Source organism: Homo sapiens, chromosome 4 (assembly GCF_000001405.40).
Source record: "Homo sapiens chromosome 4, GRCh38.p14 Primary Assembly".
NCBI lineage: Eukaryota > Metazoa > Chordata > Mammalia > Primates > Hominidae > Homo > Homo sapiens.
The window spans coordinates 17,170,795-17,186,869 of record NC_000004.12 but is presented as its reverse complement, the minus strand read 5'-3'; the positions used below and the strand labels follow the sequence as shown (position 1 = coordinate 17,186,869).

The window sequence follows — 16,075 nt, the reverse complement described above, 5'->3', positions numbered from 1 at the left end:
CATAGCACAGTCCTCTGATCTTGGGCAAGTCTATTATTATGATTACTATTTGAATATTGGTTTCACTGTATATATTGATATAATATTTGTTCTCTACTGGGCAGCTATGAGGGTCAAATGATATAGTAAAGGTGTTTTGTAAACTGTAAAGTACTATGCAAAATATAAGAGGCTATTATTTTAAATGTGTCTAGGACTGAGGCAGAGGATATAATATTTTGATTGGGGTGAGGAAGGAACACACAGTGACTACAGCATGGGAAAAAAGGTTGTGGCAGAAGATGAGAAGAGTGGGGTGGGCTTCCATGAGGACATGGCATGCTTTTTGAGTCTTGTCTTCATGATACCCTAAGCCACTCTCTGTCTATCTCAGCCATCCTGAATTACTTGCCATCTACTCAACAGATCATGTTGTTTCATGTTTGCATTTTACAAAAACTGTTCTCTCTGCCTGGGTTTCCCTGCTCCATCTGGTCCACCTAAGTAACTATGTCTTCTTTAAAGATCCATCTAGATAGGTTAGATGCTTCACCACAGAAATACCCAATACCTTTATGTTATTTGTTTCATCACATGGCAATTATGTGTACATATTTGCCTTTTCCACTTAGATGGTGTTATGGAATGAATTGTGTCCCCACCATGCTCCCAAACCCCTAAATTCATACGTTGAAGCCCTAATCCTCAATGGAATTATGTTTGGAGACACAGCCTTTAAGGTGGTAATTAAGGTTAAATGAGGTCATAAGGGTAGAACCCTAATCCAATAGAACTAATGTCCTTATAAGGAGGGGAAGAGAACTGGAGTTTGAGTGCACAAAAAAGGCCATATAGGGGCCCAGGGAGAAGGCAGCCATCTACAACTCAAGACCTCATCAGACACTAACTCTTCTGGCACTGTTATCTTAGACTTCTGACTTTCAGAAGTGTGAAAAGATAAATTTCTGTCGTTTAGGTTACCAAGTTTGTGGCATTTTGTGATGGCAGCCTGAGGAGACTATTAGGTAGACATTTTGATGGTAAGCATCTTAAGGGCAAAGACTGAATATTACCCATTTTTGTACAAGCAGGGACTGGAAAATAGTAGATAGTAAGCATATAATTCTCGAATGAATGAATAAATTAATAATGTAGCACACTGGTCAGGCATGGTGGCTCATGCCTATAATCCTAGCACTTGGGGAGGCCGAGGTGGGTGGATCGCGAGGTCAGGAGTTCGAGAGCAGCCTGGCCAATGTGGTGAAACCCTGTCTCTACTAAAAATACAAAACTTAGCTGGGTGTGGCGGCAGGCGCCTGTAATCCCAGCTACTCAGGAGGCTGAGGCAGGAGAATCGCTTGAACCCAGGAGGCAGAGGTTGCAGTGAGCCGAGATTGCGGCATTGCACTCTAGCCTGGGCAACAGGGCGAGACTCCATCTCAAAAAATAAATAAATAATAATGTAGTGCACCTGGGCTCAGTTGGTGAATCAGGTGAGGCCAGAACCGGACTAGCTGTTTACTCTGGGGCAGTGACTGTGACTATGGAGGCCTGGAGAATGAACAGTAGCAGGAACTTAGTGTGGTCATAGAGCAAGTCAGGGCAGGCAGATGTAAAACCAGGAGAGTCCCACTGCAGGTCACAGGCAGATGTCCAGGCTGGCCCTGGAGTAGATGTCAGAGAAGTTTAGTATCAGAGGAGCCTGGGGATGTGGGTAATAATTGCCTAAAACCCTCTAAAGTACTCCATTATATACAGGATAAAGGCGAAGATTTTAACTCTGTCAATATGGTACTCTATGACATGGCCACAACCCACTCTCTCTGCCTACAGTCGCCCTGTAGGTTGCACAGTAGGTATTTGTTTGTCTGTTACAGGATTATGTCTTCTTCAGTTTTGTTTTTACCCAGTACCCACAAGAAGGCCTGCTATATTGTAGGTGCTCAATAAATGTTTGCCTAATGAATAGGATAAAGTCTAAGTAGGTTCTATTCTGAGTGTTTCTTAGTCACTTAAAAATCCTCTTTATAGGCAAGTGTCATAGAGCTGGTCACCAGGATTTTTAAGTGACTGAGAAACACTCAGAATAGAACTTTTTTGTAGGGTCTTACATTACTTTCATAGGGCTGCAGTATCACCAGAAACTTGGTGGCTAAAAACAACAGTAATTTTTTTCTCGTAAGTCCTTCCTTACCTCTTCCAGATTCTGTGGTTCCAGGTGTTCCTTGGCTTCTGGCTGCAAAAATCTAATCTCTGCCTGTCTTCCCTGGATTTCAGCTCTGTGTGTTCTCCTCTTCGTTCTGTGTCTTCTCTCCTTCTTTTCTCTATACTTGTCATTGGACTTAGGGTCCATCCTAATCCAGGATGATCTCATCTCAAGATTCTTAGCTTTATTATATCTGCAAAGACTGTTTTCCAAATAATGTCACATTCATGGTTTTGCATAAACGTATGTTTTGAGGGACCACTATTCAACCCACATAGATCCTCAGAGGATTTGCCACCAGGAAATAAGCTAAGGGAGCCATTGGTCAAAGTTGGATCTCAGATGAATGCTTAAGCTCATAGCTCAATTGCAGAGAGTGGTAGGAGGCAAATAAGATCATCAGCACAACTGGATTTGGTGTTAAATCCTTGAGCCATTGGCCTAGTGTCCCTTACATTGCTACAGACTAGTAAAGGAGCATAGAACCCAAAGAAAAGACGTGAAGACTAAGCAGCCTTGGTTTTGAGTTTGGAAGAATGCAAAAGCTGAAGTTTTTTTTTTCTTTTTATTTATATTATACTTTAAGTTTTAGTGTACGTGTGCACAATGTGCAGGTTTGTTACATATGTATACATGTGCCATGTTGGTGTGCTGCACCCATTAATTCGTCATTTAGCATTAGGTATATCTCCTAGAAGTTTTTTTTTTTCCTTTGACATTAAAGCCTGGTTTAAAAAAATACAGAGAGTGACACTATCCAATTTTTAAGAGAGTGAAGGGAAATGGTTACTTTCATATTGATGGTGAGGATAAAATTGGTACAACACTTTAATACTCAATGTATTGAAATTTTTAAAAGAAATTTGCATACACTGTGATCCAGCATTTCCTCAAGTAAGGCAAAGATTTGGCTGCAAGCATATAGCAACAGGAAAAAACTGGAAATCACCAGTATTTTCAACAATAGGTGATTATTTGACTACATGACAGTTATCATGAATTCAATAGGTGGAAAACCATATTCCTATTAAAAAACAAGCAAACAATTGGTGTTGCTGCAATGTACTCTTTGACCTGATGTGATGATCATAAATATTCTGCTGAGTGAAAAAAGCAGATTAAAAAGTATATACACAATATTGTGTATTTCACTATTTTAGTGAAAACATTTACATTTTACATGAAGATAAGGATGTGTGCACTCACATGTGAAGAGCAGTTATCTCTGGTTTGTGCAATTATGAATAATTTTTTTTTTTTTTGCTAATTTTTGTCTTTGGTCTATCATTAACATGTATTACTTATATGAAAATGCAAGTTATTTTAGAATATGAAAAATGTGGTCTCATTGAATAAACTTTTTCTAGACTATGTGTATTAGCTGCTACTATTATAGTTATCTAGCCACAATGATCTCTGATCTAATTTGCATAGTAATGTTAAAAAAAAGGCATTTATTCTTACGTTAGTAGGAAACAAGAACAGACAAGTGAATTTGTTTAAACATTTGTAAAGTGCCAGCAGCCTGGCTGGCTTGAGGATTCCAAAATTCATCTTAATGTTTTAGAACATGCTGGCTGCTGAACCTTCTGTGCTGTCCACACTCTGTGGCATTAAAAGCTGGAAATGTAACTGCTTCTCACTTTTGATCTACTTTAAATGATCGGATGTCAGATTAAGCGAAAGGGGGTTGGGGGAAAGCTCTTTGTAAATGGTGTGCAGCTGTGCAAGCAAGGGGCTTATTGTATCAGTGTCCCCGAAGGCATGTTGGAAATGCCATGGTTGGAGGGGCACCAAAACTCCCTTCCTTGGAGCCCCAGATTGCCTTGGAGGTGAGAAAGCAGCCTAATTGGGGGGAAGAATTAAGGGCCCACCAACTCAACCTGAGAGACTCCACTTGAGTCAATGGTGTATATCAAGGATTCTGCTGCTCAGGAAGAAATTTGAAAACCTCTGACTGATTCAATCCCCTCATTTTACAGAAGCACAAACCGAAGCCCAGGGCCAGAATGGGTGGCGGTGACTTTCCCAAGGTCACTCACTGGCATAGCTGGATTTAAATGAGTCTTTGGATCTCTAATACTAAGCCATCTTGTCTCTGGACTTTATTGGTGTCCTCATGTTAAAACAGAACTCTAGGCTGGGCACGGTGGCTCACACCTGTAATCCCAGCACTTTGGGAGGCCGAGGCGGGCAGATCACAAGGTAAGGAGATCGAGACCATCCTGGCTAACACGGTGAAACCCCGTCTCTACTAAAAATACAAAAAATTAGCTGGGCGTTGTGGCGGGTGCCTGTAGTCCCAGCTACTCGGGAGGCTGAGGCAGGAGAATGGCGTGAACCCGGGAGGCGGAGCTTGCAGTGAGCTGAGATCGCGCCACAGCACTCCAGCCTGGGCAACAGAGTGAGACTCTATCTCAAAAAAAAAAACCAAAAAAAAAAAACAAAACAACAACAACAACAAAAAAAAACAGAACTCTAGAACCTCTCATGTATAGTTATGCACTTCTTGACAATAGGGATATGTTCTGAGAAATGTATAGTTAGGCAAGTTCATCATTGTGCAGACATCATAGAGTACTTTCACAAACCTAAGTGGTATAGCCTACTATTCATCTAGGCATAACCTGTTGCTTATAGGCTACAAACATGTTCAGTATGTCACTGTACTGAATGCTGCAGGGAACTGCAATGCAATGATAAGTATGTGTGTATCTAAACATAAACATAAAAGTACAGTAAAAAAATGGTATAAAAGATATTAATAAAAAATGGTATGCCTTTATAGGGTGCTTACCATGAATGGAGCTTGAAGGACTGGAAGTTGCTCTGGGTGAGTCAGTAAATGAGTGCTGAGTGAAGGGTAAAGTTTAGGACATTTCTAGACAGTACTATAGACTTTATAAACACTGTACACCTAAGCTACACTAAATTTATAGAAGCATTTTCTTTAATAATAAATTAACCTTACCTTTTTTTACCTTAGAAACTTTTAATTTTTAAAAACATTTTGACTCATTGGTAATACACAAAATAACTTAAAACACACATCGTATAGATGTACAAATACATTTTCTTTCTTTATATTCTTATTCTATAAGCTTTTTTCTATTTTTTAATTTTTTATTACTAAAAAGTTTTTAAAAACGAAGACACAAACACACACATTAGCCTAGACCTCCACAGGGTCAGGATCATCAATATCAAGGTCTCCCACCTCCATATCTTGTCCTACTGGACAGTTCTCCGGAGCAGTAACACACATGGAGCTGTCATCTCCTATGATAACAATGCCTTCTTCTGGAAGACTTCCTGATGGACCGCCAGAGGCTATTTTACAGTCCCCCCCCTTTTTTTTAATAAGTAGAAGGAGTACACTCTAAAATAATAATAAAAAGTATAACAGGCCGGGTGTGGTGGCTCACGCCTGTAATCCCAGCACTTTGGGAGGCCGAGGTGGGTGAATCACGAGCTCAGGAGATCGAGGCCATCCTGGCTAACACAGTGAAACCCCGTCTCTACTAAAAATACAAAAAATTAACTGGGCGTGGTGGCGGGCGCCTGTAGTCCCAGCTACTCGGGAGGCTGAGGCAGGAGAATGGCGTGAACCCGGGAGGCGGAGCTTGCAGTGAGCTGAGATCGCACCACAGCACTCCAGCCTGGGCAACAGAACAAGACTCTGTCTCAAAAAAAAAAAAAAAAGTATAACGTAGTAAATACATAAACCAGTAACATAGTTATTTTTTATCATTATCAAGTAATATGTACTGTACAAAACTGTACGTGTTAGCCTTTCATATGACTGGTTTGTTTACATCAACATCACCACAAACACATGAGTAATGATATACAGTGGCTGCAGTGTCACTAGGCAATAAGAATTTTTTATCTCCATTTCTCCATTATAATCTTATGGAACCACCGTCTTATATGCGGTCCATCATTGACCAAAATGTTGTTATGAGGGACACGGGAGTAAAACTATGGCTGCCTCTGATTTGACCAAAGGTCCACAGTGATAATGGCAACAGCCTTCCTCCTCCTCTACCCTCTTCTCCCCAAGATTAGCAAATATGGAGTTTTGATCAACAGCGACCCCAAGCTCTAGTTCCTTCTGAGACCTCAGAGCTTACACCAAGTGCTCTTAGCCACAGAGAAGTGGCTCCTGGAGGGACTCAGTGATCAATGCAGACCACAGTCTCTCTCAGTGTGCAGCTGCCCCCCCTCATTCCAGGGACAACACAGGAGGACCCACTTTTATTTTATTGAAGAAGGAGAATTTTTTCAAAAGTCAATTTTGCTACAAGGTGCTGTGAAAGAGCAAAGATTACTTATGCATACCCCTTGTTCCTCAAGAATCTTACAGTCTATTAGATACATGGAGACAACCCATTTTATTACCAGGAAGAATGGAATAAGCATTTAAAACAGAATCAAGCAAATCTCTGCAGGAACAAAGAAGAAAGAGTGGTTCATTCTTTCACTACTAACACATGTGTGGAGCGTCTACTCATGCAGGGCATTGAACTAAGTGTTTTCACACAGGAAGTAGCAAAGAATTTTTCACTCCCGATTTCTTGGCTTGATTGCCTAGAAGACTAGAGCACTTAATAATTTTTGTTGAGTCTGGAAACATAGTTATCTTCTTTTTAAAATACAAATAGTCATCTTTAGACATTGAGAATGTTGAAATCTAAGCTTCATAGTTACGTAGTTGTACATACATGGTCAGACATATTCATAAAGGCTGAGGCAAAGTAGAAATCACAGTTGCAACTTTGCATGTGACCAGATTTCTCTGGTTTTGAGTTCTCTGTTGTGAATTTTGTGTCCAGTAAAATATAAAGCCCCTTGGAATCATGGAAATGTAGAGACCCAGAAACTTAGAAGTCATGCAGGAAAACCCATTCATTTCACAGATGATTACATTAAAATATAATTACTACTCCAATCACATTACACTGTTTTATTTTTTGATACTATTTATCACTATTTACAAACATGTTTATTGTTAAAAAGGTGAAGATGAAAGGTTATTTTCCCTTCAAAATATGCCCAAGTTATTTGTTGTTACCTAAAGGAAACTCACATATCTCTCTTGGCCATTTTACCCAGTCCTTTGTCCCACCCCTTCTAACTCCAGGGAATGCCCTAGAATAGTATCATTAGGTAATATTAGTAATATTATTATAGCTATATCTGGCTCAAAGTTCTTTTCAATGCTCTATAGTTCCAAGGGGTGAGGTTATTGTTTTGGTGTCCATATTTGGATTCCCTTTATTTTAGATCCTCTTCCTACCAGCGGCCAAGACAGTGCTGGGGGACTGGGACTGTTCCTGCTTAGGGGAAGACCTGGCCATCTCTCTTTTTTGGCTGTGACCTCCACACCCTTTTCTGCTTTCTGACTGGTCCTTTCCAAATATCTGAGGAGGTCATATGGTGGTGGCTAGATGCATCTTCCTGCATGGGGAGAGGAGCCCTTCCTTCCTATGCAAGGAAATCAGAGAGAGGCTGTTGTTCTGCCTCGTCTAGGCTGAAGAAATCTTCCTGATTCTGCACCATCTGTCTCACCTTCCAAAGTCTGCCAATCTAACTAAAACTTTGACATCAATACCTCTGTTATACATATGGATCCCTCCAGAACCTCAAAAGATGATAGGTGGCAGTTGAGGGAAGGATTATATCTCCTATATAGACTTTCTGTCTCTCACACACATCTATCTGTAGCTGTCTCCTCTATATATTATTGTCCACTTTTCCATGGCTTGCATAATGCTTGATAAGTGGCAGAATCACCTACTCAATCATTCAATTGGAGATATTCATTCATTCAGAAATAAGTTTACATAGGAGCCAATGAGATTTCTTGCAAATCCAGTTACAGATTAAGTCCACTGGTTCTCTTCCCTTAACATCTCTGTGCTCTATTTCCATCTCTCTGTCTCCACAGCTACTGCCTTCATCTGGCTTTCAGTAACTCTTCTCTTCTTTATCCCTCTGCCAGTCTTCCTTATTCTAATCCATCATGGAGCTGGCCAAGGACAATCTTTCTAAACATGATTCCTTTCACTAGCTCCCAATGCACATGGTAAGACAGACAGGGTGGAGAACACACGCTTTCATGGGTTATTCAAGACCCTTCCAGATTTAACCCATGCTCTCCTCTCCTTTGGGACCTCTTATCACCCTGATCAAGTTGCCTATGTCTCGACTACACTCATCAACCTGCAGTTCCCGACTCAACAGGTGGGTTCACACCTCCATTTCCCTGTTCACTCTGTAACTTCTGAAGAGAATTTCCATTGCCACTTGTTTGCATTTCAAGGCTCACCTATAGTGTCACATCCTTTCTAAAGCCTCTTGTCCTCTTCTCCCTCAAGCAGATTTGACCATTTTCTGTAGTGACTACTATGGGGGACTCTATTGACAGGACTTGTAAAACCATTTATTACTCTTCCTTGTCAGTGTCCACACTGGATCTAGGCCCTATTAGTTCAGATGTCTATTTTATTTATCTCTGTATTTTTCCCATTCCTATGGTGTAAATGTGTCTCCCTTAAAGTGCATAAGATAAAATCCTAACCCCCAAGGTGATGGTTTTAGGAGGTGGAGCCTTTTGAGATGTGATTCAGTCATGAGGGTAGAGTCCCCATGATTCGGATTAGTCCCCTTTTAGAAGAGACTCCAGACAGCTGCCTTGCCCCTTCCTCCATGTGAGGACACAGTGAGAAGGCACTATCTATGGAGAATGAGCTCTTACCAGACATCAGATTGGCTGACACCTTGATCTTGGACTTCCCAGCCTCCAGAAATGAGAAATGAATGTCTGCTGTTTACAAGCCACTAAGTCTATGGTATTTTGTTATAGCAGCTCAAATGGACTAAGACACCTTCCCAGCACAAGGCCCTCACACATTGTAGGCACACAGTAAATGCATGTTCAATTAGTTAAGGTGACATGAATTGGACTGGCCATTATCACACAATCCACAAGTTTTGACAGGTCAGACCAGTTCTCATTCTTCCTCCTTCTCTGCTTCTCCTCACACTCAGTTTATTCCCTTCCTACCCCCTGAAGCCAGTTTTAAAAAAAAAACCTGATTTTCAGACATCTCTCTCTTCCTCTATTAACAATGGTTTTATTATATTTCAAATAAAATCTAACTCCTTATTAGTTAGGAATGTTCATATCTAAACTTTTGCCAGTCTCATAGCTGTATGTACATGGCTAGACATATTTATCAAGGCATTATAGAAAATACAGGTGATAATTTGTACATGACCAAATTTACCTCCTTAGTTTGATCTACAAAGTCCTACATGACTTGGTTCCTGACTTCTGTTACTTTATCTGGGCCACTCCCCACTTCCTCACCACATTCCAGCACCCTCTTCTTCTTTTATCTCAAACACACCAAACTCAATCCCCCTGTCAGGCCTTTTGCACTGGGTGTTCCCTTTCTCTGGGATGCTCCCTGCCTCCCTCTGCTCAGTTTGCATCATGAGACATTCTGATAATTCAGGGCTAAGCAAAAATGCCACTTCTCAGAGGAGAAATTCCTGATAAATTCACCCCTACTCCAATGATTTTTGGTGCCACTTATCACTATTTATAAACAAGATGTTTATTGATTTATTCCCTTGTATACTGTCTTATTTCTGTGTATAAGAATGTAATGATGGCTAACACATAGCTCCCATTACATGCCGGCCATTGTTCTAAGTGCTTTCATGTGTATTGCCCACTTAGTCTTTACAAGAGCCCATGAGGAAAGATCTGAAGTAGAGAGGGGTTGAGTAATTTGTCCAAGGTCTCAGTCCTCTTAATCACTGTGCTGTGCTGCTCGATGTGTGGATGTGGATCTTATGGATTCTGTTCGCTACCATATTTTGGTTCTAAAAGGATATTGTTTATATCCTTATGATCCAGGAAATGCATGAGTGAATAAATGAAAACAGTACTGAATATGCTGCCTCTCCTTATTTTAAGAGATGTTGGTATTGCATTTCAGTGAAAGAAGTTATAAAGAGGTAAAGTGAAATGCTTTTTGGTTTAAGTAAATTATCTTTATTCTAATTCTCTGGATATACTTTTCTAGACATGAATCTGAAATCACTCTACCCCAAAACAACAATAACAACAACAACAACAACAACAACAGTCTTTGTTTAAGCTAGAGTAGCAGTGGAAAAGTTCACTCTATTCTTGGGAAGACATAAAACTTCACTTGCTATGCTCCATGAAGTATCCAGAATAATTCTATGCATAGCCATTAAAGAACTCTATAAAAGGCACTGAATGTTGAGACCACTCAAGCAATCTGATTGCTTAATTAAATGTCTAGAAATGCTCAATATGTGCCAATTGAAACTGTATCACCCATAAAAAACAGCGACATGCTTTCTCTTTTTCTTTTAATTTTTGGTTTATAATAGCAATAACAACGTTGGCTGTGGGCATTTCCTGGAGATTAATGACTGGTTAGGCTTTATGGCCCGGACTGCTTCTCCTGTGGACAATCAACTCCTCCCCACTTGTCGTTCATCCACTGAAAAGCACCACACAGCTCCCTCTGGTTTGTTAAGGAATGTCAGTATTTGTCAAAGCTGGTGGGGATTGGTTTGTGAATAGTGATTTGTGGATTCTTGGAAACTCTCTGGCAATATTGACATCTGCGAAGAAGACAGGTTCCTGACTAACCTCAGAGGTGGCCTTTGATACACTCAGTGTATACACAAGAGCTCGCTTTCCTCCACTGAACATTTCAGTGTGATGGTTTAAAGGGGCTTACAATGAATTTTTCTGCTGTCGAAGCTTTGTTCTTTTGTCTTCTGCTATGTGATTTTCTTAAACCCATGTATGGACATAAAATGCTTTGAAATCACAGAAAAAAAGCCTCTTTTGAAGTCAAAGATGTTGATGGCTGCATGTAAGGAAATGGTTCTGAATACGTATAGCACAATACAAGCAAGTTAAGTTTCCTTCACCCCATCTCGGTGAGGCTAAGACTGCTGGAAAATCTACAACTGGTTGCAATTTTAATTGTGATTCTTTGCTTCTTAATTGCCAAAAGAGAGACTTAATTTAAAACATGAACACGCTCTCTCCAGTTCCAGAATGTCAACGTAGCAAATCTTTAGCTACTCCTTCCCATTTGTCAACAGCAATGTCACAGTGTTGTCAGCCTGTGTTGTAAGTATGGCCTTGAGTTTTGTCCACTATAATAATGATATTAGCACCAAACATTTGAATAGTGCTTTAGAACTTACAGAATGCTTTCTAGGGACACATGATCAATCTTGTTTTCCAGATGAGGAAACTGTTCTGAGAGATAAAGTGACTTGCCCAAGATCATATATTCCATAAGTAGAGGAGGTATTCCACATTTTCTGATTCTAAATTCAGTCTTTTCTCAGATCTTCCTATTTCCTGTCTTCCAAAGAGAGCTCATCATACACTTTTTAAAATCCCTTAAGTAATTTCTTTTTTTTCTATGTGAGAGTAAGTGACGGGCCTTAAACAATAACAGTTGCTACTGTTTATTGTTAACTATGGACACACATTTCACATATATTATTTCATTCTATCTTCACAGTTCAGTGAGGCAGGAACTATCACCATATTACAGGAGAGAAGACTGTGGTTCAACAAGGTCAAACATTCTAGTGGACTCAGGCTCTGTAGATGAGCCTCCAAAATCCATAATCTTTTGGCTGTGCTGTCATGTTACTCAACAGAGACTATCCTCTGTGGGAATTTGATGGTTTGGTAAGTTTATTTCTGTTGCTTAATATCAAATATGGCTGTTCAGTGAGTCAAGAATGAAACCTTTGAGAGCTCAGGACCAATAATACTGTTGACTACAAGAAGATGAAAATAGCCCACCTGAATGGTAGCCAGAATGGAGCTCTCTTTAAAGGTGGTATGGGGTGGGCTTTGGCATTCCTCTTGATTATGACAGGAATAGTTAATTTGACAAATGTCTTCATTTTTTAAATTTTTCCTAATTGTGACATCAAGTGATATATATATATATATATATATCGAGAGATATATATCTCAAGTGATATATATACCAGGTGGTTGGTTGTCGTATCATGGGACAGACATCTGCAGGTTTTGTGATTACCAGGCTTAAACCTTAGCAGGGCATAGTTTAAAGACCCATTGGGCTACTAGGAACTAGATAAATCCTTTACTACATCCCTTACATTCTTTGTAGTAAGGAGACTAAAACCTAGGAAGGCTGGATTACTTTGCTCAAAGCCTTTAAGCAAGTAGTGGTTTCATTTTGTTTCCTGGAGATAAGTGATTGCTGAGTTTTGTAGCTGCTCTGGGAATTATATTTGTACTGTAGAGAATGAGATAGACCCAGGCCCTGCGCTCGAAGAGCTTAATATGTGAAGTCAGAGGTTAGAATCTTTCTTTTAGCATCATTCAATAATCAACTAAACATGTTATTATTATTATTATTATTTTTGAGACGAAATCTCACACTGTTGCCCAGGCTGGAGAGCAGTGGTGCCATCTCGGCTCACTGCAACCTCTGCCTCCCGGGTTCAAGTGATTATCCTGCCTCAGCCTCCCGAGTAGCTGGGACTACAGGCACCCGCCACCACGCTCGGCTCAGTTTTTGTATTTTTAGTAGAGATAGGGTTTCACCATGTTAGCCAGGATGGTCTTGATCTCCTGACCTTGTGATCCGCCCACCTCGGCCTCCCAAAGTGCTGGGATTACAGGCGTGGGCCACGGAGCCCTGCCCATGTTACTCATTTTAAAGCTATGCTCATGTCTTCACTCACCCTGAGTCCTTGCTGGTCATGTATGTATCACCATGTTCTTGTGATACAGCACCTGGGATGTCAGCTACACATAGGTAATAGCCAGGGAGTTTCCCTTTTAACCTGATGAATTGGAGTGCGATAAGAGACAGACCTTGAAAGTGCCCTTCATATACTTCTGGGCTGGAATTAGGACTGGGCAACTTGGTGCCTCCCTAATGCTTTCTTTTCCCTCAGAGCTCGACTCTAGTGCTAATCTCCTGCGGAGGGATAAGAAAGCGACGGGATCACTGCTTCCTTTGAAGGCTTCACTTGCCCACTTCCTCCCTACCCTGCCTGTCTCCTCCCTTTCAGGGAGTTTCATTCTGTGATGGTCCCACTGGGCCATTTTGTTCCTCTGGTGTCCCTGACAGACATCAGGGCTCCCCCTGAAGGTTAAAGCGAGGAACAGGGCAATGTGGTCAAAACTGCATCCAGCAAGGATTGAAGATCTTGAGAAATGAGATTGTTTTGTCAGTTTTTCAAGTTGTTAATTTATATGATTTTATTACACAGCCTCAGGAGAAAACAAAAATAAAACCAAACAAAAACAAAATTAAAAAATAGCACCTTGGAACTCCAGAGTCCACGGTAATTTATTTTCTCCGAAGAGCTTTCTCCTGTGGTTTCTCACTCTGGAGAACTTGATTTGCCATCAATATTTAAGATGAAAATAAAGTAGTTCTTCAAAAATGAAGATCACCTAAAACACAGTGCTACTTAAATGTCAAGGAGCCATTATGTTTAATAACATTTTTTAAACTATTAAAGTTGAGTGGTTACTTTTTATTTTGCATTTAGTCACTCATGGGAGATATTTATTTAGTCTTCTATGCTGCAAATGGTGATGATGTTAGTAGAGAAAATTCTCATTCTGAATAATGGTCTTATTTATATCATATCTTACCAAGGAATGAAAATGTACAAACTGTTAAAAGAGTGAGAATACTGTGAAAATTATGACCTTAAGACTATAGAATTATGAAATCAAAAAATGTGATAATTAGTTTGTGTTGGTGAAATGGCATATACTGTATATGTGTTTTAACCACCTTTAGGGGAATGGGCAACCTTAAAAACAAATAAAAAGATCTTAAAATTTCTTGTCAATCAATTTAGAATACAATACCATCCAGTCCCCTTCCATGACATAATCAAACACGCAAGAGCTGAAAGGAAAATATGGAATATAAATATCAATGAGATTCTTTCACTCCTATGTGTTAATTTATGAAGCAATTTTTAAATAGCCGTTTCTCTTTTTTTTTCAGAACTCCTTTATTTTCATTTTAAACATTTATGGTAAATCAAGCTCTCCAGAGACTAGTGCCTGGCAGTTACTTAAGAAAAATATTTAGTAATTTTGTGGAAATCTTGCAACCTTTTCTTTAACTTTTTAATCTCCTATCAGATGCATTAAATTTTTGATGATAGCTATAAACTAGAGAAAAATTGCAAATTCCATACAAAAATGGCGTTATCTTTGGAATCTTTGTTTTTTCTGAGTACAAATCAGAAATGCAGAATGTGTTGAGGACACAGTAGAGGGCACAGATGTGTGCTGCAGGGAGCTAAAACATGCAATTCTTATGTAGACAGCATCTGATCCCTTAACATTTGTGATTCCGAAGTCCCCTGATCCTGGATATCACGTGGATGATAACCTTTAATGAAAAAGGCCACCACTTACGGGGTGTCTACTGTATGTTGCATATTTACCAATTTGGTCAGGTAAGATTTTTTTGGGTGTAAGTGACAGAAAAATCAAATAGGTATTGACTCTATCCAGGATTCAAACAATATCACCTGGAGTTGACGTTCCTCCACTTCTCAGCTGTTTCTTTGGGTTGTTAGATGTAATCCTGCAGTCAGAGCAGTGTTTCTTAACCTCGGCACTATTGACATTTTGGGACAGAAAATTCTTTGTTGTGGGGGGCCATCCTATGCGTTGTAGAATGTTTAGCAGCACCCCAGCCTCTATCCATTAGATGAGAAGAGCAGCTTTCCCAGAGTTATGACAACCAAAAATGTTCCCACATATTGCCAAATGTCCCCTGCAGGTCATTGACAGCCACCAGAACCACTGGAATAAATTAACATGGCGCCAGGTGCTCTTGAAGCTGTATCTTTCCTGATGCAGACCAAGCAGAGAAAGACTTCTGTCCCAGAATTCTCAGGGAAAAACATTATGAGATTCACTCCTACTGGAGCTACTCAGGAAGGTGGACCACCCTCAAAGCAGTTGCCCTAAAATCACCCCTGAAGCCAGCTGAGATTGGCAGGCCCAAGCCATGTGTTCCACTCTAGGGATGGGAATGGAGCACCAGTCATACCATGTGGATGAGAGCTGGGTAGAGAGAGACTATCACCCAGTGAAAACCAGGGGAACAGCTGTGAGAGGGGTAGAAGGTGGGTGAGGCAAACAGCAAATGTCTACTTGCAGAAAAGTGACCTCACTTAATTTCACAATAAGTGAGGCACAGAGAGAATAGGTAAATTGCCCAAGGTCATACAGCCAATGCATGGTCAGATATACAGTTGTTTTATTATATGAATCAAAGAATGGGAAACAATGCCTTTCTTTCTGCAATCATAGAGCTGTCGAGAGTTAAAAATTCATGTCCAGGTGTATTTGCAGTGTCTTTCTGAAGCAGAGTAGGATATCTGCTCTCAGTAGCCTGACTTAAAAATTAAAATATATTTCTCCCCAGTTACAGTATCATAAGTGGTCAAACGATGTATTTATAATACTGCCACATTAGTGTTAACACCTACTTCTGGTTCATTATGAGTTAAATAGGCTTGTTTGTTAATTTAGAAAACCAGTCATAACGTATGAAATTGTTTCTATCAAAAAAATGCATTCTGAATACTAAACTATCAGCTTACCAATGAACTTCTGGAAAATGCAGTACCTTTCTAAGCTAGGGGTTGCATGTGTTATGAAGCTGACACTGTACTTTTAGGTGATTCATTTCTTCCATGAGACTTGAAGTATTTGCTCAAAGTTTCAAGCCACTGGTTGAATTTCTAATAATAATGAAATTTACACAAGTTCCCATGTTACAG

The 16,075-nt window shown here is 40.0% G+C and overlaps 1 long non-coding RNA gene across 1 annotated transcript; it reads left to right on the top strand.

Annotated features, from left to right (window-relative positions):
* The first annotated feature begins 812 nt into the window (after positions 1-812).
* Positions 813-15,113, top strand: LINC02493 (long intergenic non-protein coding RNA 2493). The gene is made up of 6 exons (NR_125919.1): positions 813-1,019; positions 4,974-5,018; positions 10,285-11,378; positions 11,782-11,954; positions 14,602-14,737; positions 15,067-15,113. It is a non-coding gene; the product is annotated as a long intergenic non-protein coding RNA 2493 (long non-coding RNA).
* Positions 15,114-16,075: the final 962 nt, after the last annotated feature.